Consider the following 22,793-nt stretch of genomic DNA (forward strand, 5'->3'; position numbering starts at 1 on the left):
CAGGCGCAGTGGCTGTAATCCCAGCACTTTGGGAGGCCGGGGTGGGTGGACTGCTTAAGCCCAGGAGTTCAAGACCAGCCTGGGCAATGTGGCGAAACCCCATCTCTACAAAAAATACAAAAATTAGCTGACTGTGGTGGCTTGTGCCTGTAGTCCCAGCTATTCGGGAGGTTAAGGTGGGAGGATCACTTGAGCCCAAGAGGCAAAGATTGCAGCAAGCCAAGATCATGCCACTGCACTCCAGCCTGGGAGACAAAGTGAGAGCTTCTCAAAAAAAAGTATTAGGGGCCGGGTGCAGTGGCTCACACCTGTAATCCCAGCACTTTGAGAGGCCGAGGCGGGCAAATCACCTAAGGTCAGGAGTTCCAGACCAGCCTGTTCAACACAGTGAAACCCCATCTCTTCTAAAAATACAAAAATTAGCCAGGTGAGGTGGCGCATGTCTGTAATCCCAGCTGCTCAGGAGTCTGAGGCAGGAGAATCACTTGAACCCAGGAAGCACACAGATTACAGTGAGCTGAGGTCGCACCATTGTACTCCAGCCTGGGCAACAAGAGGGAAACTCTGTTTCAAAAAAAAAAAAAAAAGTAATTAGGCCAGGCACAGTGGCTCACACCTGTAATCCCAGAACTTTCGGAGGCCGAGGCAGGCAGATCACCTGAGGTCAGGATTTCAAGACCAGCCTGGCTAACATGGCAAAACCTCGTCTCTACTAAAAATACAAAAATTAGCCAGACGTGGTGGCTCACGTCTGTAATCCTGGCTACTCAGGAGGCTGAGGCAGGAGAATCTCTGGAACCCGCGAAGCGGAGGTTGCAGTGAGGCGACATGGAGCCACTGTACTCCAGCCTGGGCAACAGAGAGAGACTCTGCCTCAAAAAAAAAAAAAAAGGTATTAATTGGGCACTGACTGACACATGCTGTTCTAGGCACTCAGGATACAGGTTTCAACATAATAGTCTCTGTCTTTAAACAACACACAAAAAAAAGAGTTCCACCAAAACATTCGACGAGTAGAGGACCAGAAGTCTTACCACACTAAGTATCCATGCCATTCATTTAGCACCTACTTTGAACCAATTTACCTTGTTAATAACTTCTCATATGCATACCATGTGCACATTTGCAGTACTGAGGGTAAAAACTGTGTTTTATTTATCCTCTATTCTCAAAGTCCTATAACCATGATAGTCTCAAAATGGGTCAGCTCCTTGAAATGCTATTCATTCATTCATTTAACAGATATTTATTGAGCATTTTCAGCACTGTGTCAGGTGCTGTATTCAGGCCCTGGGAATATGGCATTTAGGGGGAAAGTAAAATATAGTGCCTGCCTTCATGGCACTTACGGCCTACTCTAATAGTTAGAGGAGAAAGACTTTAGCCAAAGGTATATATCCTACCTCCAGATAAAACTACAAAACTTACTGCTCAAAAAAAAAATCTAACTTATATTTAAATGAAGTTAACACATACATGATTCCCCCCCAACTTTGTACTTCCATGTAACTTTTTATCCAAAAATTCCCAATTTTTTTTACTCAGTAACTCATTGTTCATAGACTCCCCCTCCAGAGAGGAGGCACAAAAGAAGTGTAAAACATTCTTATTGAAAGACCAAAAACCTAAGTATAAAGAAATCCACTTGGGCCGGATGTGGTGGCTCATGCCTGTAACCTCAGCACTTTGGGAGACCGAGGCGGGCGGGTCGCCTGAGGTCAGGAGTTCGAGACCAGCCTGACCAACATGATGAAGCCCTGTCTCTACTAAAAAATACAAAAATTAGCCAGGTGTGGTGGCAGGCGCCTGTAATGCCAGCTACTTGGGAGGCTGAGGCAGCAGAATTGCTTGAACCTGGGAAGCGGAGGTTGCAGTAAGCTAAGATTGTACCACTATACTCCAGCCTGAGCTACAGAGTAAGACTCCATCTCAAAAAAAAAAAAAAAAAAAAAAAAACAACCCAAAGAAATCCACTCAAGTTGATTATGCACACAAATGAAACGGATAATGCACACAAATGAAACTTCATTGTGTATGTCCTGAAAGAAATGCCAAACACATAATTCAAAGTAATATGGCACTTAGATCCTTGAACAGACAGGATCACTCAACATTCAGGTGCAAACACTGGTTGGGCTTCTCAGTTCTCATAACAGTAGTAATTCTACCACTTGTCCAGCTGGATTCCAGAAGTTATGAGTTTACCTATAATTAGGTATTTAGGAGACATACAATAAAACATCTACCAAAGGATGGTTTAAAAGACTCCTTGACAGGGAAAATGATTTAAGGAATTAGTATGTATTCACTTCCACAGGCTTTATAAGTTTCATCCATGACCTAAACAACAGAATGCGTGTATATCTGGACTACAGAAATAGCCTGTAACTGAATTTAAGCTGCATTTTCACTTGGCTACCAGAGACAATCCTATGAACTCCACTACTGCTTTGGTTCGAAATTGTGGCAGGGAACATTGTCACGTTACAATATATTGTACCTATATTGTACTATAGGAGTACCTATATTGTACTCCATGTAAATCTGATACAGTATAAGGAAAAACTTGCTCTGTTCTGATGAACTTATATTTTCCCCTGCTCATCTGAGAGTTACACACATTATGAGATTTCCCTCTCAGACTTCTTTTACCTCTTTAACCCTCAATTTCGACCACTCTGCTTTGTTATGTTGGCAAACGCATGAGTGTTAGAAAAGGAAAAGCACAAGGTGATAAAAGTATACTAAAGAAGGACCTAGGGATTTTTTTAATTAAAATAAAAATAAAGTAATACAGCATTTTACTTCTAAAGTTACTCAAAATATTTATTTTGATCTCACAAGATGGGGACTCAGAGTCAATGACTATCTCAAAAAGCCTAAAAAGCTAGTGAAAAAGCCAGAAATACCAGCAAACAGACCTAACAATTAGGAGAAGTAGAAAAAAAGAGTTGAAATAATTTTCAAAGATTGCTGTACAGTTTTGTGAATACAGTATTAGATTGTTTACTAGGAGTGACACCTAGGTGGAGCAAATAAACGCTAATGACTGAGGGCCAGATTAACTGATCTAAAAGGGGTCAAGCTTTATGAAAGCTTGGAGCAAAACAAAAGCCACAGTATACAGGAGTAATCACATCTAACTGCATAGCACTAAAAAACAACCTGATATTTTAAAAGTGTGGGCATTGTGGGTAATGATAAGAGAGGAAAAAAAAATAAGAAAATTTAAAAGTGAGGGCACAAAGGCAATCTACAGATTAAGAGAAAAATCTGCAAACCATATATCTGATAAGCAGTTAATTTCCAAAATACATAGGGTACTCCTACAACTCCAAAGGAAGAAAACATTTTTTAATGGGCAAAGCAGGATTTTAAGGCTGCAGTGAACCACTCCAGCCTGGGCATCAGAGTAAGACTCTGTCTCAAAAAAAAAAAAAAAGGGTCCTAACTAAACAGACACCTGTCAGGTATATAAAAAGGTGCTCAACATTACTAATCATCAGGGAAATGCAAATCAAAACCACAATGAGATATCACCTCACACCTGTCAAAATGGCTCTTGTCAAAAAGACAAGAGACAACAAATATTGGGGAGATGTAGAAAAAAGGGAATCCTGGTACATGTCAGTAGAAATGCAAAATGGTGCAGCCACTATGGAAAACAGTATGAACGTTCCTCAAAAAATTAAAAATAGAACTACCATATGATCCAGCAATCCCAACTTCTGGGTATTTATCCAAAGGAATTGAAATTAGGATTTCGACGGACATCTGCACTTCCATGTTCGCAGTAGCATTATTAATAGCTAAGACATGGAAACAATCTAAATGTCCAAAAAGAGATGAATGTAGAAAACGTGGTGTACATGTGTGCATGCCCAGTGGAATACTATTAAGCCTAAGAAGGAAATCCTGCCATTTACAACAACACAGATGCACCTAGAGGATGTTACACTAAATAATATGTCAGTCCCAGAAAGACAAATACTGAATGATCTCACTTATCTGCTAGTTTAGTGGAATCTAAACTAGCAAATTCACAGAAGCAGAGAGTAGAAGGGTGATTGCCAGGGTCTTGTGGGGGGACAATCAAGTTTCACTTATGCCAGATAAGTTCTGGAGATCTATATAGCATAGTGCCTACATCTAAGAATACTGTATTGCATACTTAAAATTTTCTAAGAGGGTAGATTTTATATCAAGTGTTCTTACCACAAAAATAATACTAATAATACATTCATAATAAAAGGGACAGGGAAACTTTAGGAATGACGGACATGTCTATGGTGTTGATGCGGTGGTGTTTTCACAAATATATACTTATCTCCAAACTCACAGAGTTATATACACTAAGTACCACCTTTTACATGTCAAAAAAAAAAAAGGCTTTTCATACCGAAAAAAAGAAAAAGAAAATAATTCCAATAATCGGCAGAATGCATATTTTCCCCCATCCTATGCATATACTACTTGGGAAAAAGACAAAACTTTAAGAAAAGCTCATAGCGCTATGACTTTTTAAAGCAAATAAAATGTCTCTGGACACAGTGAATGAAATAATCTAAAAACAGGGAAAAGGGGGAAAAATAGGCATCAAGTGTAGTTAGTTAAGAACATGGCACAGGCTGGGCGCGGTGGCTCACGCCTGTAATCCCAGCACTTTGGGAGGCCGAGGCGGGCTGATGACGAGGTCAGGAGATCGACACCATCCTGGCTAACACCGTGAAACCCCGTCTCTAATAAAAATACAAAAAAATTAGCCGGGCGTGGTGGCGGGCGCCTGTAGTCCCAGCTACTCGGGAGGCTGAGGCAGGAGAATGGCGTGAACCCCGGGGGGCGGAGCCTGCAGTGAGCCGAGATCGCGCCACTGCACTCCAGCCTGGGCTACAGCGAGACTCCGTCTCAAAAAAAAACAAACAAACAAACATGGCACAAAAGCAGAAAAAGGAGAAACTCCTCAATTACAAACAGGAATATTATGTTACAAACAGGAATACATTTCTTTCTACAAAAATAAGGGTCTGCGAAAGCAACAACACGGGCAACCCCATTTTGCACCAAATGAGACTTTACAGACACTGGCAAATGCTTATTACAGACCCCACAGACATAGAGGGTGTCTTTAAGTACTCCAGAAAGGGTGAACCAGGAGTGCTAAATTCCTACAAAACTGGAGAAGAGCTAACCAGAAATATACAACCTGCTTCATAAATATATAGTCCATAAACTTAATAAATTCAGAATTATAATTTATCCTCTTCTAAAGGTCCAATCACTATGTAAGAGTAGTTACGTCTCTAAAAAAACCTTTCAGAGAAAGCAATTAGATGACTACATCATCTCCTAGAGCCGAACATAAATCTTCTTAAGACTGAAAAACAAATATTTCAAAGTAAATCTTTAGTACCCTGTTATTTATGGTGCTTTAAAACATTTTAAAAGGATCTTTGAAACAAAGTTTCATTAGTACCCTTCTACAAAGAGCTCTCATATCTTTCATTCTTTTAGCAATTTAAAAGCTACCAAATGTTCATTTCCTCATTAGATTATTGATTCCTAGCCTTTTAACATCTCTATAACAGCTGCTTGACAAATTACCTCACCTTATTCCTCGGGGGGTGAGGACAGCATGATATCCATGAATTCAAAAATGGGACCACAAACTGATGAGTGAAGATGAGCTAATTGCTTCAGATGAGTTAGACACTGCTCTAACAGACTAGGCATTCACATAGCATGATACGATTAAATGCTTACACCCTAAATATTTTCTTTGTCCTTAAATGTACAGAAAAGATCTTTTCTTAAATTGAGTTTTATTTTAAAATATGTGATAGCCTCAGTAGGTCAAGAAGCTTGAACATGTTTGGAATAGTTTCCACCGAAAGCCTCGTCTTCAAAGTACTTATTCTCAACAGTTTGCACAACTTTCAGATTTAACCTTATTTCAACCTAAGAGAGCTGTAAGCCCCCAAAATAGTCTATTAAATAGGACGTTATAATGCCCAAAATTTTATCAAAGAAAAGCCAAAACGATTTTCAAAGATATAATAAAAATATTTCAGAGTAGTATGGTAAAATATTCCTGTCTCTGCCTAGATCCATTCTGTTAGTGTCAAAACAGTGTAAGACACAAAGAAAAGCACACACAAACCGCGATCTTGTAGACCCCTAGAACATAAAATATTGCTTTCCCCCAATAAGAACCACAAAATGGTGTGGAATTAAAGGAGCATTTTAAATGAACAGCTTTTTCCAGCCAAATTACTTAGCAAGTCAACCTCTTTTAGACAGAAGCAATACACTCTTCTCTGAATTCAGAAACAATCTCATAGTAAAACAAACGTGTCAATTCCTTTAAAACAATAAATATCTGTGCTTAGCTTTATAATGTAGGTAATAAAATTTCAAGATCTTTCAATCAGTTTTTTAATTCAATCACCAGCGTCTTTAAATGTCATTTTTGCAACTGCATGACTATGGTGTTCATTCACCTTTTGTAATATAGTCCCATAACAAAAATGTAGACACCCAAGAAACCACACAGTTTTGGCATGATGGTGCTGACTATCCGAAACATTCCACTTGTTTCTTTCGACGTGCTCCTTCTGTGACCTGAAAGCTCTGGTTCCTACTAGCACCTTGGTGAGCTAGCTGGCTGGTTCCCCAGCTATAATATCATGTTTGATCTCTCCTGCCTGGAGAGGCGATAGCGTTGATTTTGTTTTTAAAGTTGGTGTCAGAGCAGCTACAAACTTTTTTCAGCATCCCTGCCTGGCTGCCAACTGGAGCTCTCTGTTCACTTCCTCACCAACTTGAACCACCCCCAAACTGAGAGTAAGCTGGAGTTAGACAGCGGCAGGAACTGACACACTTTCAAGAAGGGTTTGACACCGCAGAAAACTTTCACTTCTCCAACCCTTCCACCCAGGGGCTCTGGCCCTTCGCTCTTGCTTCCCCGCTAGAATTCCCCTCTGGGGCAGGACAAGGACACGGACAGCAGATCGTTCGAATGACGCCGAAAGGGACCCCCAAAGCCCTCTCCCCTGGACTCAAGGGCTGTTCTTCACACAAAAGAGCCGGGCCAGCTTGAAAAGCAAAGGGGCCAGCGTCGCGGCCCTTCTCTGGGTGCCACCCTCCACCGCGCCCGCAGACCCTGTCTCCAGCCGCCCGAGCGGTCTCCACTGTAGGCTTCCTACCCCCAACCCGGCCAGACAAAGCCCCGGCAGCAGGGCCGGCACTTCCGAGCCTCCGGACTCGGGACGCCGCGCTCTTACCCTGGCCTCATCCAGAGTGACGCCGGCGCCACCGCTTCCCCCGGCTTTGGCGGCGGGGCAGCTGGCGGCGCGGGTCTTGGAGGAGCGGGTCCGAGAGGAGATGAAATGGCTGCTGCCTCCGGTCGCCCCAGGCTCTGCTCCGGCCCCAGGCCCAGGCCCGGGACCAGGAGACTTGGACCCGAGAAGGCGGAGAGAGCTCTTCCGGGTGTTCACCATGGTCCAGCCAGGGGGACGGAGTCCACGCCGCGCCCGGGAGAGCCGAGCAAGGCCGGCCCGCCGGCCGGTCAGTCAGGGCCAGCGGAGCCGAGCCGGGCAATGAGAGACGAGCCGGCCCGGAGCGTGCGGAGCGCAGACGAGCACAAGAGAGAGCCGGGCAGAGGAAGGGAAGTCGGCGTGAGCAGGCGGCGTGCGGGAAGCGGGGGCGGTGCTGCAGACCGGCAGCACAGACACTCCGCCGGCTTCGCCCTCCTCAGCGGGAGCCGAGCGGAGCCGCCATTTCTACCCCTTTCTCTCCCGTTCTCGCTCTCGAGCTCCGTGCGTCAAGGCTCCAGCGCCGCAGGGCCAACGAGACCGCTTCCGGCCGCAGCCACGGCGGGGCGCTGCGAAGCCGGCCAGCCCTTCCCGGCTGCTCGCTCCTCTCCCTGCCGCCTCCAGCTGCCCCGCCCCCGGCGCGGCGTCAGCGCTCGGCGGCCGGGGAGCGACGCTCTAGGCTGTCAGCTCGGTGGTTTCCAGCTCTCCCCGACCGCAGGGCTGGGGCGACCAGAAAAGCCAGACTAATCAGGACGAGTTCGGGCGTGGAATTGGGCCTGAAGCCCTCATGCCCAGCCAGGCCTGAATGCCCCAGACCCCACCGTCACCCCCGTGGCCTGGATGGAGCAGGGGACGGCCGGCGAAGGCGCGGGGTGGAAGGGGAGCGGCGACGAAGGCGCGAGGAGCTGACTGGGAATCCCCAAGCTACCCGAGGCAAGACACTGAACTTGAGTCGCACTTTTCATGCCTGTAGAAATGAGAATGACAGCTGTGATAAAAAAAAAATTCATCTGGGCGGTATCTGGAACTTGGTAAGCTTAAGAAGAGAAGGGGGGGGGGAAACACCATGCTAGAACTCTGCGTTTTTAAACAAAGCGAGGCAGGGTCGTTTTCTATCCCCTTAGCCAGATCTAAGGCGGAGCCAAAGAATGAGTACCCTGTAAGAGCCGCCTCTATCGCCGCCCCCTGCCCCCGGCCCGCTGAAGAATTAAGAATACAAAAAGCTGAACCCACAGATAAAGCATTTGCAATTTAACTTCCAAAGAAAAAAAAATTAAGCCACACAATTCATATGAAAAGCTCTGCTGTAGGCCGGGTGCGGTGGCTCAAGCCTGTAATCCCAGTACTTTGGGAGGCCGGGGTGGGTGGATCACCTGAGGTCAAGAGTTCTAGATCAGCCTTACCAACATGGTGAAACCCTGTCTCCACTAAAAATACAAAAAATCGATGGGTGTTGTGGTGGGCACCTGTAATCCCAGCTGCTCGGGAAGCTGAGGCATGAGAACCACTTGAACCCAGAAGATGGAGGTTGCAGTGAGCCGAAATCACGCCACTGCACTCCAGCCTGGATGACAGAGCCAGACCCTGTCTCAGAAAAAAAAAAAAGAAGAAAGAGAGAGAGAAAGGAAGAAAGAAAGGAAAGAAAGAAAGAAAAAGAAAGAAAGAAAAGCTCTGCTGTAAAGTAGGAATTAGGTTCATTTCAAAAATTCACAGTACAGGCCGGGCTTACGCCTGTAATCCCAGCACTTTGGGAGGCCAAGGCGGGCGGATCACTTGAGGTCAGGAGTTCGAGACCAACCTGGCCAACATGGTGAAACCCCCTCTCTACTAAAAATACAAAAAATTAGCCAGGTGTCGTGGTGCATGCCTGTAATCCCAGCTACTTGAGAGGCTGAGGCAGGAGAATCGCTTGAACCCGGGAGGCAGAGATTGCAGTAAGCCAAGATCGTGCCACTGCACTCCAGCCTGGGTGACAGAATGAGACTCCATCTCAAAAAAAAAAAAATAAAATTCACAGTACATTAGACATAGCCTACTGTTTATTGGGCAGGAGTTTATTAAACTGTTTATTAAACTAAGAAAAATTGAAAACTCAGGAAAAGTCCTGAAAATGACCAAATGGCATCAAACTTAGAGCATTCTGGCCATCTAAGCTCCCAATCATTCCAAAAAACTGTACAACACTGGAAATGACAATTTTTTTTGTTTGGGAACCAGTATGGATTCCAGAATAGATAAATCCTTCTGACACAATTTGCATACCACATCCTCTCCTGGACACTTCACCTGCCACTTAGAGTTGATGTCTTAATGGGTGGGATTCCTCATAATGGAACCATACCTGGATTTTCCTGGGTCAAGTAGCTATCACATCACTGAGCAGCATAAACAAGTATCAATTCCTGTGGAAAGAGGCTGGTTTGGGCCAGGCACTGTAGCTCACACCTGTATTCTCAGCACTTGGAGGCCGAGGCGGGAGGATGGCTTGAGACCAGGAGTTGGAAACCAGCCTGGGCAACATAGTGAGATCCTCTCCCTGCCAAAAAGAAAGAGAGAGAGACAGGGTCTCACTCTGTCACCCAGGCTGGAGTGCAGTGGCACAACCACAGTTCACTGTAGCCTTGACCTCCCAGGCTCAAGCAATCCCCCTGCCCCAGCCTCCCTGGTAGCTGAAACTACTGGGTGTGGTGCCTGTGGTCCCAGCCACTCCTGAGACTGAGGCGCCATCAGTCACTTGAGCCCAGGATGTCCAGGCTGCAGTGAGCCAAGTTCATGCCATTGTACTTTAGCCTGGGTGACAGAGTAACACCCTGTCTCAAAAAAATATTTAAAAAAAAAAAAAAAGGGTAGGGTGCAGTGGCTAATGCCTGTAATCTCAGCACTTTGGGAGGCAGAGGCGGGCGGATCACTTGAGGTCAGGAGTTCGAGACCAGCCTGACCAACATGGTGAAACCCCATTTCTACTAAAAATACAAAAAATTAGCCAGGCATGGTGGCAGACACCTATAATCCCAGCTATTTGGGAGGCTGAGGCAGGATAATCGCTTGAACCCGGGAGGCGGAGGTTGCAGTGAGCTGAGATTGCACCACTGCACTCCAGTCTGGGCAACAGTGCAAAACTCCATCTCAAAAAAAAATAAATAAATAAAAAGGCTAGTGTCCTGCAGAGGTGTGTGGTATGCAAATTATATACAAAGGATTTGTGTGCTTTCCTCCTTTTTTGTGTGTGTTTATTTGTTTTTGTAGTCCTAAATTGGGAAGGCCAAGTTACCATAACCTATACCATTTACTATCAACAAATGTTAACTTTATTTATTTATTTGAGATGGAGTCTTGCTCTGTCACTCAGGCTGGAGTACAGTGGTACTATCTGGGCTCACTGCAACCTCCGCCTCCCAGGTTCAAGCGACTCTCCTGCCTCAGCCTCCCAAGTAGCTAGGGCTACAGGCGTGTGCCACCACGCCCGGCTAATTTTTTGTAGTTTTAGTAGAGACGAGGTTTCACCGTATTAGCCAGGATGGTCTTGATCTCCTGACCTCGTGATCTGCCTGCCTCAGCCTCCCAAAGTGCTGGGATTACAGGTGTGAGCCACTGCGCCTGGAGGTAACAAATGTTAATTTTAAATCCAACTGAGCTTGAGCCCAGGAGTTCGAAACCAGCCTGGGCAACATAGTGAGTCCCTGTCTCTAGAAAATATATAAGTAAATAAATAAATCCAACTGGTATTAGGTACTCTGCTAGGCCAGGAAATACACAGATTTTTAAAAATCAAGAACGTTTAAAAATCCTCAAAGAACACACAGACATAGAGGGAATGAATAAGATAGGGAAGAAACCAGTAAACTGCAATACAATGTGAAAAGAAAGAATGAGGCAGAGACCATTAATTCCAGCAGGGATTTTAGGGAAAACCTCTGAGAGGTAGTGACCCCTGAGATACGTGTTGAACCACAAAATTGTAGACAAAAGAAAGGAAGACTTGAAAAAGATAAGGCCAAGCAAGGTGGCTCACGCCTATAATCCTAGCACTTTGGGAGGCTGAGGTGGGAAGATGGCTTGAGTTCAGGCATTCAAGACCAGCCTGCGCTGGTCACATAGTGACACCCCATCTCTATAAATTAAAATAAAATTTTAAAAAAGAGAAAGAAAAAGGGCTGGTTGCAGTGGCTCATGCCTATAATCCCAGAATTTAGAGAGGCCAAGGTAGGAGAATCGCTTGAGCTCAGGATTTCAAGACCAGGCTGGGCAATGTAGTGAGACCCCATCTCTATAAATTAAAATAAAATTTAAAAAAAAAGGAGGCCAGGCACAGTGGCTCACGCCTGTAATTCCAGTGCTTTGGGAGGTCAAGGTGGGTGGATCATGAGATCAGGAGTTCAAGACCAACCTGGCCAAGATGGTGAAACCCTGTCTCTCCTAAAAATACAAAAAAATTAGCTGGGTATGGTGGCGGGCACCTGTAATCTCAGCTACTCAGCTACTCAGCAATTCTTTGCCTCAGGTTGCAGTGAGCCAAGATCACTCTGCACTGCACTCCAGCCTGGGCGACAGAGCAAGATTCCATCTCAAAAAAAAAAGGGGGGCTGGGCTCAGTGGCTCTTGCCTGTAACCCCAGCACTTTGGGGGCCAAGGCAGGCAGATCACTTGAGGCCAGGAGTTCAAGATCAGCCTGGCCAACATGACGAAACCCCATCTCTACTGAAAATACAAAAATGAGCCTGGTGGTGGGTACTTATAATGTAATCGCAGATATTCGGAGGCTAAGGCATGAGAATCACTTGAACCTGAAAGGCGGAGGCTGCAGTAAGCCAAGACCTCACCACTGCACTCCAACCTGGGCAACAGAGTGAGACCCTGTCTCAGAAACAAAAATAAGAAAAGAAAAGAGATATGGAAGAGTTGCCTGTTTTCTACAGTACATACTAGAGGAAATAACTAAAACGTTGGTTAAATATTTTTTGAACTTAAAAAAAAAACCTGCAGTACATGCAAGAGGTGGCAAGATACTAAGGAATGCTCAGATCAAAAGCTAAGTCATAGCAGGAACCCAGAACAAGTAAGCAAGGGCTCCAAAGACAGCTTTCATTTCCAATGCATTTGCTCAACCCCAGTGAATTTGACCTTTTCTCTGCGTGAAGAAATGCAAGGCCGGGCACAGTGGCTCACACCTGTAATCCCAGAACTTTGGGAGGCCAAGGTGGGTGGATCATGAGTTTAGGAATTCAGGACCAGCCTGAGCAACATAGTGAAACCCCGTCTCTACTACAGATACAAAAATTAGCCAGGCGTGATGGCAGGCGACTGTAATCCCAGCTACTCAGGAGACTGAGGCAGGAGAATCACTTGAACCCAGGAGGCAGAGATTGCAGTGAGCCGAGATCACGCCATTGCACTCCAGCCTGGGTGACAGAGCGAGACTCCGTCTCAAAAAAAAAAAAGAAAAAGAAAAAGCAGGCCAGGTGCAGTGGTTCTCGCCTGTAATCCCAGAACTTTGGGAGGCTGAGGCAGGCGGATCATGAGGTCAGGAGTTCGAGACCAGCCTGGCCAACATGGTGAAACCCCATCTCTACTAAAAATACAAAAATTAGCCAGGCATGGTAGTGGGCACCTGTAATCCCAGCTAGTCGAGAGGCCGAGGCAGGAGAATTGCTTGAACCCTGGAGGCAGAGGTTGCGGTGAGCTGAGATCATGCCACTGCACTCTATCCTGGGTGACAGAGCAGGATTTTTCCCCCTCCGTCTTGGGGGAAAAAAAAAAAAAGAAATGCAAAAGACAGTAGTAAGGCCTAAAATCTGCTAAATATATGGAATCTAATGCAAACATCCCGCAAAATCCTGCTACAATAAGGATAAAGCTAAGTATGAGTGAATTAGAAATAAATGCACCAACCTTCACTCATCTCCAGGAGACTGCAAGGAGAACTGCCCACCTTTCCCAACACTGACACTAAGAGTGGGGAGCGGTGGGTGGGGGTGCAGGGTTGGGAGGGTCCCTTGAGAATTCATAACAACACACTGATCAACAGGTTTACAGCCTGAATTCACCAAGGCTAGGTATGAAGACCCTCAGGACAATAATTTAAGTTAAATAGACTTGAGTCAAAAGTGATCCTAAGCATAAAGCTGAAGCAAACATAAATCATCTCTGACAGAATATACCTTCAACAGAAAGCACAAAAATAAAGTCCCATGAATATGATTCACAGTAAAAACAGAAAATCACAAAAGAATCATCATGACAACCAGGCGCGGTGGCTCACGCCTGTAATCCCAGACTTGGGGAGGCCGAGGCAGGTGGATCACAAGATCAGGAAATAGAGACTATCCTGGCTAACACAGTGAAACCCCGTCTCTACTAAAAATATAAAATAATTAGCTGGGCATGGTGGCACACGCCTGTAGTCCCAGCTACTCAGGAGGCTGACGCAGGAGAATTGCTTGAACCCAGGAAGTGGAGGTTGCAGTGAGCCAAGATCGCACCACTGCCCTTCAGCCTGGGCAACAGAGCGAGACTCCATCTCAAAAAAATAAAATTAAATTAAATTAAAAAATAAAGGAGAGATTAAAAAGAACTAATGAGCAAAAAATGACAAAACAAATTTTAAAATCATGAAATAGATCTAATAAAAATAAAAAGAATAGGCCAAGCGTGGGGGCTTATGCCTGTAATCCCAGCACTTTGGGAGGCCAAGGCAGGCGGATCACCTGAGGTCAGGAGTTCGAGACCAGCCTGACCAACATGGAGAAACCCCATCTCTACTAAAAATACAAAATTAGCTGGGCCTGGTGGTGCATGCCTGTAATCCCAGCTACTCGGGAGTCTGAGGCAGGAGAATCGCTTGAACCCGGGAGGCAGAGGTTGCAGTGAGCTGAGATCGCACCATTGCATTCCAGCCTGGGCAACAAGAGCAAAACTCTATCTCAAATAAATAAATAGATAATAAAAGAATAAAGTATTCTTAAACATGACACCTAAGCAAGAGCCATAAATTAGTTGGTCATGATGTAAGTACCTGTAGTCCCAGCTACTCAGGGGGCTGAGGCAGGAGGATCACTTGGGCCCAGGAGTTTGAGGCTGTAGTGAGCCTTGGTCACTCCACTGCACTCCAGCCTGGGCAGCAGGGCAAGACCCTGTCTCAAAAGAAAAAAAACAAAAACAGAAACAAAAAACAAAACTGTACCTCCAATGGAGCTAAAGTGAAACACTGCAAGTCTATAGGGAGGCCATCAATGAAGAGATGGTCCTGATTTGGTGGGTGTAGGATGCAATCCATGGGACTGCATCTTTAAGAGCCATGAAACATTTGAGAAACACGAAATCAAGAGGCAAAATCAGAACTATTGACATTAGGCCGGGAGTGGTGGCTCATGCCTGTAATCCCAGCACTTTGGGAGGCCGAGAGGAGCAGATCACCTGAAGTCAGGAGATTGAGACCAGCCTGGCCAACATGGTGAAACCCTGTCTCTACTAAAAATACAAAAATTAGCTGGGTGTGGTGGTGCACGCCTGTAATCCCAGCTACTTAGAAGGCTGAGGCAGGATAATCGCTTGAATGCGGGAGGCGGAGGTTGCAGTGAGATCGCACCACTGCACTCCAGCCTGGGCAACAGAACAAGACTCTGTGTTAAAATAAAAAAAAAAAATTGTTGACATTAGAATTGTGCACTGTCCAATGTGATTACTAGCCACATGTAGTTATTTAAATTTCAAAAATTAAAAATTCATTTCCTCAGTCACACTACCACATTTCAAATATTCAATAAGCAAATGTTGCTAGTAGCCAATGTGTTGGACAATGCAGAAACAGTTCCATCATCACAGAAAGTTCTACTGGACAGTGCTGACCTAGATATTCATCTCAAGGGAAGGAAATGCTCAAAGATGCTCACTTGGTTTCTGTCCTGAACTGGATGGTTGGCAGGGCTACCAATTGGTAAAGAGGATGCAGGATGAGGAGCAGATTGCTGAGTGCCACCCATCGTCCTTCTATGTGAATTCAAAAAGCATTCACTGAACTCTATTATGTACCTATGAAATAGCTACTGTGAAAAGTACTTTGGAGAGTATCTAATAAACAAATTACTCAGTCTGTACACTTATAACTAAAAAGTCAACACAGAAAGAAATTAGAAAAAGAGCAAACTAAACCCAAGCTACCAGAAGGAAATAAAGAATAGAGTGGAGATAAATATAGTATAGAAAAACAAGGCTGGGTGTGGTAGCTCATGCCTGTAATCCCAGCACTTTGGGAGCCCAAGGTGGGCAGATCACCTGAGGTCAAGAGTTCAAGACCAGCCTGGCCAACGTGGTAAAACCCCGTCTCTACTAAAAGTACAAAAAATTAGCTGGGTGTGGCGGTGCATACCTGTAATCCCAGCTACTCAGGAGGCTGAGGCAGGAGAATCACTTGAACCTGGGAGGCAGAGGTTGCAGTGAGCCGAGATCGCACCACTGCACTCCAGCCCAAGCAACAAAGCAAGACCCTGTCTCAAAAAAACAAGCAAAAAAATGGAGCAAACACCTAAATGTCAGAGCTAAAGCTATAAAATGCTTAGAAAAAAACAGAGAAATCTTCATGACATTGTATTTGGCAATAGTTTCTTGGATATGACACCAAAAGTACAGGCAAAACAAGAATAAATTAATTTGACTGAAATTTTAAACTTCTGTATCAAAGGATACTAACCCCAAAGTGAAAAGACAATTCACAGAATCAGAGGAAAGATTTGCAAATCACATATCTGATAAGGGATTACTATCCATAATATGTATTTTTTAAAACGCAAAAACTCCTGTAACTCAACAACAACAACAACAAAAAAAACCTATTTGAAAATTCGCAAGGAGTTAAATAGGCGTTTCTCCAAAAAAAATATACGAATAGCCAATAGGCGCATGAAAAGATATTCAGCATCACTAGTCATCAGAGAAATGCAAATCAAAACCATAGTGAGATACACTTCATACTCATTAGGGCGGGATAGTTATAAACACACATACACATACACACACAGAGAAAATAACAAGTGTTGGGAAGATGTAGAGAAATTAGAACACTAGTACATCGCTGGTAGGAATGTAAGATGGTGCTGCTATTTGGAAAACAATATGACTGGTCCTTGAAAAGTTAAACACAGAAATACCCTATTCCACTTCTAGGTATATACTCAAAAAAATTGAAAACGCCAGGCACGGTGGCCCACACCTGTAATCCCAGCACTTTGGGAAGCCGAGGTGGGTGGATCACCAGAGGTCAGGAGTTCAAGACCAGCCTGGTCAACATGGCGAAACCCCATCTCTACTAAAAATACAAAAATTAGCTGGGCATGGTTGGGGGGCACCTTTAATCCCAGCCAGTCAGAAAAGCTGAGGTGAGAGAATCCCTTGAACCTGGGAGGGGGAGGTTGCAGTGAGTCAAGATTGCACCAATGCACTCCAGCCTGGGTGACAGAGGGAGGCTGTCTCAAAAATAAATAAATTAAATTAATAAATAAATATTCTTGCCACAATAAAACAAAAATTTTAAAAAATTGAAAGTAAGGAGTCAATCAAATACTTGTATACCAAAGTCCATACCAGCATTATTCAAGATAGCAGAAAGGTGGAAGCAACCCAAATGGCCGTCAACATATGAATGGATAAGCAAAATGTAATATATACATACAATGGAATCTTATTCAACCATAAACGGGAATGATATACTGACACATGCTATAACATGAATGAACTTGAAAATAATTATGCTAAGTGAAATAAGCCGGACAAAAAAGAACAAATATTGTAGGAGTCCACGTATATGAGGTATCTAGAATGGGCAAATTCATAGAGACAGAAAGTAGAATAGGCTGTGCGTGGTGGCTCAGACCTGTAATCATAGCACTTTGGGAGGCCAAGGTGGGAGGATTGTTTTGAGTCCAGGAGTTTGAGACTAGCCTGGGCAACCTGGTGAAAATCCTACCTCAAAAAAAAAAAGAGAGAAAGAAAGTAGAATAGAGATTACTATGGGCTGTGGGGATGGAGAGAGACTCTGTCTCAAAGAAAAAGAAAAACATACACCTAACATCATACTCAATGGTGAGAGAGACTGAAAGCTTTTTGTCTAAAATTAGGAACAAGACAAAGAAGCCCACTCTCATCATTTTTTGAGACAGAGTCTTGCTCTGTCACCCAGGCTGGAGTGCAGTGGCGTGATCTCGGCTCACTGCAACTTCTGCCTCCTGGGTTCAAGCAATTCTCCTGCCTCAGCCTCCCGAGTAGCTGGGATTACAGGTGCCTGCCACCACGCCTGGCTAATTTTTGTATTTTTAGTACAGACGGGGTTTCACCATGTTGCCCAGGCTCGTCTCGAACTCCTGGCCTCAAGTGATTCACCTGCCTAAGCCTCCCAAAGGGCTGGGATTAAAGGCATGAGCCACCGTGCCCGGCCTCATCATTTCTTTTCTGTTTTTCTTAAGTCTAGTAATAGAGTCTCGCTATGTTGCCCCAGGTTGGTCTCAAATTCCTGGGCTCAAGCAATTCTCCTGCCTCAGCCTCCGAAAGTGCTGAGATTACAGGTGTAAGCCACCACACCCAGCCTCTTCATTTCTATTCAACATTGTACTGGAAGTTCTAGCTAGAGCAGTTAGACAATAAAAAGAAATAAAAGGCATCCACATTAGAAAGAAATAAATAAAACTATGGCCAAGTGTGGTATCTCATACCTGTAATCCCAGTGCTTTGGGAGGCCCAAGCAGGAGGATAGTTTGAGGCCAGGGGTTCGAGACCAGCCTGGGCAACACAGTGAAACTCCATCTCTACAAAAAAAATTTTTTTTTAATTGGTCGGGCATGGTGGCACACGTCTGTGGTCCTAGCTACTCAGGACACTGTGGTGGAAGGATTACTTGATCCCAGGAGTTCGATATCAACCTGGGCAATGTACGGAGACCCCATCTCTAGCAAATGATTAGAGCTAATAAGTGAATTCAGCAAAGTTGTTAGATACAAGATCAACACACAAAATCAGTGGTATTTCCAAATACTGGCAATAAAAAATCTAAAAAGGAAATAAATCAACTCCTTTTACAATAGCATCAAAAAGAATAAAATACTTTGAAATATATTTAACCAAAGAGGTACGAGACTTGTACGTGGAAAACTATAAAACACTGCTGAAAGAAATGAAAGAAGGTCTAAGTATGGTCATGTAGTGCTTAACCATGGGGGCACCTTCTGAGAAATGTGTCGTGTAAGTGAATTCGTCGTTGTGTGAACATCACAGAGTATACTTACACAAACCTGGATGGTATAGTGTACTACACATCTAGGCAATATGGCATAGCCTTGCTCCCGGGCTACAAACCTGGACAGCATGTTACTGTATTGAATACTGTAGACAATTGTAACATGATGGTATTTGTGTATCTAAACATAGAAAAGATACAGTAAAAATATGGCCTTATAATCTTATGTGACCACCATCACATATGCTGTAAGTCATGGACCGAAAGGTTGTTATGTGGCGCACGACTATAAATGCAAAAATATTCATGCTTAAGGATTTGAAGACTTTATATATAAAGTGAGTCATCGCACCAGTATTGTTAAGATATCAATACTCCGGCTGGGTGTGTTGGCTCACACCTGTAATACCGGCACTTTGGGAGGCCGAGGCGGGTGGATCATCTAAGGTCGGGAGTTCAAGACCAGCCTGACCAACATGGTGAAACCCTGTCTCTACTAAAAATACAAAAATTAGCTGGGCATGGTGGTGCATGCCTATAATCCCAGCTACTTGGGAGGCTGAGGCAGGAGAATCACTAGAACCTGGGAGGCGGAGGTTATAGTGAGCCGAGATCATGCCATTGCACTCCAGCCTGGGCAACAAGAGCAAAACTCCATCTCAAAAAAAAAATTGAAGGTATCAATACTCCTCAAATTGATCTACCAATTCAAAGCAATCCCTGTCAAAATCCCAGTGGCCCCCCCCTCCCTTTTTTTTTTTTTTTAACAGCAATGGAAAAGCTGAGCTAAAATTCATACAGAACTGCAAGCGACAAAACAATCTTGAAAAAGAGGAGCAAAGTTGGAGGACTCAAACTTCCTGATTTCTATACAGCTACTATACAGCTGTATACAGCTACTATACAGCTACAGTAATCAAAATAGTATGGTACTAGCATAAAGATAAGATACATAATCAATGGAATAGAATTGAGAGTACAGAAATAAATTTATACATCCATGGTCAATTGATTTTTGACAAGGGAAGAATCCTCTCTTCATTAAATGGTGCTGGGACCAAAAAATCGGAAGAGCTCTCACAGAATGGTCAAAGAAAAGTCTCTTTGCCTAATGGGATCAATTTAACTCCTTATTGTGCTTCAACAGACACGGTCTCATGAGCAGTGAGATTTGAACTCACCACAGGCTCCCAAAATCACTGAACAGGAGATGAGGGAGGTGGTGGTGGGGGGAACGGCATGGGCCTGTAGGTGAGGATCAATCTCAATCTGAGTCCCCGCACTAAAGACTTACAAATAAATCCCGATTTAGGCAAACCGAGACTTTATTCGGAAAGGATTATTGCAACAGGGGGGAAAAGGACTATTGCAATAAGGGTGGAGAACTATTGCAATAGGAAGAAGGACTGTTGCAATTGGGAGAATGCTGGACTATAAAATAAAAAACAAATCTGGATATACGTAAGGAGAGAGTTCAGTGGAAGAGATCCAAGAAAAGGGAAAGAAACTATTGCAACTGAGAGTGGGGATTGGGGGAGGCTACAGCAACCGGGAGAACTCTCCAACCATGAGATCTGCAGCGATCTCCTGGGTCAGGCAGAAAAGGGCTTTCCTTTTACAGAGATGAGTGAACAGGGCTAGAAAGACCCGGGTGTGGGGAAGTGGGGAGAAGACTGGAGGTGGCAGCGATGAGACTATACAGAGACTGTTTCCCTGGGGTCCGTCTATTTTCAGGCGGTGGATGAGGAGGGCTGCTCGCTGGCTGCGGCTGAGGCTCGGTCACCGTGTAGAGAGGCCCAGGGAGAGCTGCTTCACTCAAGTCCTGTCAAGTCAAGGCAGCCGGGATTTGTCCACATCGTGAGTACAGGCAGGTCAGCTAACTATTTGCGAGGCGAAGAACTGGAATTTAGAGGGTCTGGGCCTGACCTTGTCACAGCTAACGACGGGGGCATCCTTGAGTCCTGACAAAGTCACATGCGGAAGGGCGGTTGCGTGTAGTAAGTCCTTTTAGGAACACAAAGGGGCCGGGCGCGGTGGCTCACGCCTGTAATCCCAGCACATTGGGAGACCAAGGCGGGCGGATCACCTGAGGTCAGGAGTTCAAGACCAGCCTGGCCAACATGGTGAAACCCCGTCTCTACTAAAAATACAAAAATTAGCCGGGCGTGCTGGCAGGCGCCTGTAATCCCAGCTACTCCGGAGGCTGAGGCAGGAGAATCGCTCGAATCCGGGAGGCGGAGGTTGCGGTGAGCCAAGATCGCGCCATTGTATTCCAACCTGGGGGACAAGAGCGAGATTTAGTCTCAAAAAAAAAAAAAAAAAAAGGTGGGTGGGGGTTTCTTCAACTTCGTTGTCCACAGGGCTCAGGTCAAGTTCAACATTGTCAGAATGCAGGGATGTCTCTCCATGGTTTCTGAGGCTGAGGAGGTACCCAGGTAAGCACACTCTGGGTTCTCTGGTGAGCACACACCGAGCTGCCTGCATCTCCCCTACCCATGAAGGCAGCTAGCCGCCGGGCCAGTGGTGGGAAGGGGAGGCGGCCATTAGCGCCGTTCCCGCCGGGACTTGAAGCGCCCGGCCGCGGCAAGCCCCGCCCTCGGCGCGCCCCCGCGTCCGCGCGCGCTCCTCGGGTCTGCGCGGAGCCGGCGTCGGCGCGCGCTTGGGCGCCTGGCGAAGACCGAGAGAGGCTGGCGGGATCTCAGCGGCGCGGCCGCGGAACCTGAGGCGGTCTGGGGCGGCGGCGCTCCGGCTCTGAAGGGCTCCAGCCAAACGGAGCCCGCGGCCAAACGGTGCCTGCGGTGCCTGAGCTGAGTGAGGCCGAGGCCGGGAGGCCGTGCCCGGAGGTGAGCGTCCCGGGGCCGCGCCGCGTCCGGCGGGGTGAGGGCGGGGCGGGGCGGTCGCCTGCCGGCTGGGGCCGAGGGGTCGCGGCCTGTGGCTTGGCCGCCGCGGATCGTCGGTGTCGGGGGGAGTCTCGCTCCGGAGGGCCGCGTGTTTGCGACTCGGGAAGGGGCGCCGGCGGCGGAGCCCGAGCCAGGGTCCCGCCCAGCCCAGGTGAGCGGCGACCCCGAGCCCCTGACTCGCCTGCGGCTTGACTTGCGAGCTAGCTGAAGGCACAGCTCCTGGTTCTCTCGCAGGGCGTTCCGAAACTTACAGTTATGCGCAACACAATGTTTCTATTTTCAAAGGCGAACGCTGCACGATCGCAGTCCAGTGATACAAAGTATGCCTATTAGTGACTTCACCCGACTCCCACCACTCACTTTCTCTGATGTTTTGAAGGCCTGGTGTTCGCTGATTTCACGTTTCCTTAATTTCTTCTTTGTGCCTTTTTTTTTTCCTTTTCGCTGCCAGTAATAAAAGAGTTTATTACTTGTCAGCAATGATGAATGTTCGTGTGGCATCCAGCGTTGAGTTCCTATGTACGTAATTTGAGATAAGTAAAGATAGGAAACTGCTGATTTGTTTTGATGCGAATGCAGAAAATAATGTGGTAGTATGAAGTCTGGCCGGTTGCAGTTTGTTTTTAGGGGGGAAACTTTAAAAGTTCATGTTGTGTCTTCTTTCTAAATATGCTGAAAGTCGGATTTATTTAAAAGGCAATTAAATTCAGTGAATACAGAGTATCTTTTTATAACACTAATGTTAGTGCTAGGCACTGGCGGAGTCCAAAAATGTGTAAAAAATGTGTGCAGGAGGGAGTGGTTAAGCACACTAATGATATGAGGCTGACTGCAGTCCAGTGTTAATGGAAGCTCACACTTACTGAGCAGTTGTTTTCAGCTGGGCACTGTGGAGGGTACTTTACTTGCATTTTAATTTAATAATGTATAATAATTAGCATACACTTGATTTAATTTTTTTCATTCAAAAAAATTTTAGTACCTACTGTGTACTGAATGCTAAGGATACAATAGTGACAATTACAGACTCTGCCTTTAGACTCTACAGTGTCATTGGGCAAAACAGATATTAAGCAAATAATCAGGGCCCGGAGCGATGGCTCACGCCTGTAATCCCAGCACTTTGAAAGGCTGAGGTGGGCAGATCACCTGAGGTCAGCAGTTCTAGACCAGCCTGGCTAACATGGTGAAACCCCGTCTCTCTCTACTAAAAATACAGAAATTAGCTGGGCGTGATGGGGGGCGTCTGTAATCCCAGCTACTCAGAAAAACTGAGGCAGGAGAATAGCTTGAGCCGGCGAGAGGTAGAGGTTGCAGTGAGCCAAGATGGTGCCACTGCACTCCAGCCTGGGTGACAGAGCG

General features: G+C 45.5%; 2 protein-coding genes across 37 annotated transcripts in view, besides 11 other annotated features; one reads left to right on the forward strand and one right to left on the reverse strand.

The window, feature by feature from the left end:
• The window catches only part of ATAD2B (ATPase family AAA domain containing 2B), a 249,155-nt gene extending 241,306 nt beyond the window's left edge, over nucleotides 1-7,849 (reverse strand). For all 29 annotated transcript variants that reach the window (XR_001738780.3, NR_125717.2, XR_001738782.3 and 26 more), the window contains exon 1: nucleotides 7,281-7,849. Coding sequence is in view for 26 of the 29 variants with exons in the window: in XM_047444799.1 (XP_047300755.1) it covers nucleotides 7,281-7,496 (216 nt within the window). In the remaining 3 variants the exon portion in view is untranslated. The remainder of the gene's footprint in view (nucleotides 1-7,280) is intronic.
• Nucleotides 6,516-6,765: an enhancer, noted in NCBI's record as "active region_15418". NCBI's record gives its function as "activates an Ori minimal core promoter by ATAC-STARR-seq in GM12878 lymphoblastoid cells {active_cell/tissue: GM12878}" and the evidence as "EXISTENCE:reporter gene assay evidence [ECO:0000049][PMID:35858748]".
• Nucleotides 6,864-7,782: an enhancer, noted in NCBI's record as "OCT4-NANOG-H3K27ac-H3K4me1 hESC enhancer chr2:24149008-24149926 (GRCh37/hg19 assembly coordinates)". NCBI's record gives its function as "activates a minimal SCP1, AML or CMV promoter by ChIP-STARR-seq in naive and primed H9 embryonic stem cells {active_cell/tissue: H9 hESC(naive and primed)}" and the evidence as "EXISTENCE:reporter gene assay evidence [ECO:0000049][PMID:30033119]".
• Nucleotides 6,976-7,025: an enhancer, noted in NCBI's record as "active region_15419". NCBI's record gives its function as "activates an Ori minimal core promoter by ATAC-STARR-seq in GM12878 lymphoblastoid cells {active_cell/tissue: GM12878}" and the evidence as "EXISTENCE:reporter gene assay evidence [ECO:0000049][PMID:35858748]".
• Nucleotides 7,506-7,585: a silencer, noted in NCBI's record as "silent region_11221". NCBI's record gives its function as "represses an Ori minimal core promoter by ATAC-STARR-seq in GM12878 lymphoblastoid cells {active_cell/tissue: GM12878}" and the evidence as "EXISTENCE:reporter gene assay evidence [ECO:0000049][PMID:35858748]".
• Nucleotides 7,783-8,699: an enhancer, noted in NCBI's record as "OCT4-NANOG-H3K27ac-H3K4me1 hESC enhancer chr2:24149927-24150843 (GRCh37/hg19 assembly coordinates)". NCBI's record gives its function as "activates a minimal SCP1, AML or CMV promoter by ChIP-STARR-seq in naive and primed H9 embryonic stem cells {active_cell/tissue: H9 hESC(naive and primed)}" and the evidence as "EXISTENCE:reporter gene assay evidence [ECO:0000049][PMID:30033119]".
• Nucleotides 7,786-8,115: a silencer, noted in NCBI's record as "silent region_11222". NCBI's record gives its function as "represses an Ori minimal core promoter by ATAC-STARR-seq in GM12878 lymphoblastoid cells {active_cell/tissue: GM12878}" and the evidence as "EXISTENCE:reporter gene assay evidence [ECO:0000049][PMID:35858748]".
• The window catches only part of UBXN2A (UBX domain protein 2A), a 77,632-nt gene continuing 62,842 nt past the window's right edge, over nucleotides 8,004-22,793 (forward strand). For 3 of the 8 annotated variants that reach the window (NM_181713.4, XM_017003517.3, XM_047443581.1), the window contains exon 1: nucleotides 21,189-21,374. The gene's annotated coding sequence lies outside the window, so the exon portion shown is untranslated. Of the gene's footprint in view, nucleotides 8,342-20,265; nucleotides 20,403-20,510; nucleotides 20,967-21,188; nucleotides 21,375-21,410; nucleotides 21,583-22,793 lie in introns of those variants that run through there. The other 5 variants (XM_005264168.6, XM_011532633.4, XM_005264166.6 and 2 more) reach the window with 5 other exon arrangements.
• Nucleotides 8,286-8,375: an enhancer, noted in NCBI's record as "active region_15420". NCBI's record gives its function as "activates an Ori minimal core promoter by ATAC-STARR-seq in GM12878 lymphoblastoid cells {active_cell/tissue: GM12878}" and the evidence as "EXISTENCE:reporter gene assay evidence [ECO:0000049][PMID:35858748]".
• Nucleotides 20,999-21,194: a silencer, noted in NCBI's record as "fragment chr2:24163143-24163338 (GRCh37/hg19 assembly coordinates)". NCBI's record gives its function as "represses an EF-1alpha promoter that drives an FKBP-Casp9 reporter gene in an ReSE screen in K562 erythroleukemia cells {active_cell/tissue: K562}" and the evidence as "EXISTENCE:reporter gene assay evidence [ECO:0000049][PMID:32094911]".
• Nucleotides 21,056-21,155: a silencer, noted in NCBI's record as "silent region_11223". NCBI's record gives its function as "represses an Ori minimal core promoter by ATAC-STARR-seq in GM12878 lymphoblastoid cells {active_cell/tissue: GM12878}" and the evidence as "EXISTENCE:reporter gene assay evidence [ECO:0000049][PMID:35858748]".
• Nucleotides 21,216-21,695: a silencer, noted in NCBI's record as "silent region_11224". NCBI's record gives its function as "represses an Ori minimal core promoter by ATAC-STARR-seq in GM12878 lymphoblastoid cells {active_cell/tissue: GM12878}" and the evidence as "EXISTENCE:reporter gene assay evidence [ECO:0000049][PMID:35858748]".
• Nucleotides 21,826-21,935: an enhancer, noted in NCBI's record as "active region_15421". NCBI's record gives its function as "activates an Ori minimal core promoter by ATAC-STARR-seq in GM12878 lymphoblastoid cells {active_cell/tissue: GM12878}" and the evidence as "EXISTENCE:reporter gene assay evidence [ECO:0000049][PMID:35858748]".

This window comes from Homo sapiens, chromosome 2, assembly GCF_000001405.40.
Source record: "Homo sapiens chromosome 2, GRCh38.p14 Primary Assembly".
Taxonomy (NCBI): domain Eukaryota; kingdom Metazoa; phylum Chordata; class Mammalia; order Primates; family Hominidae; genus Homo; species Homo sapiens.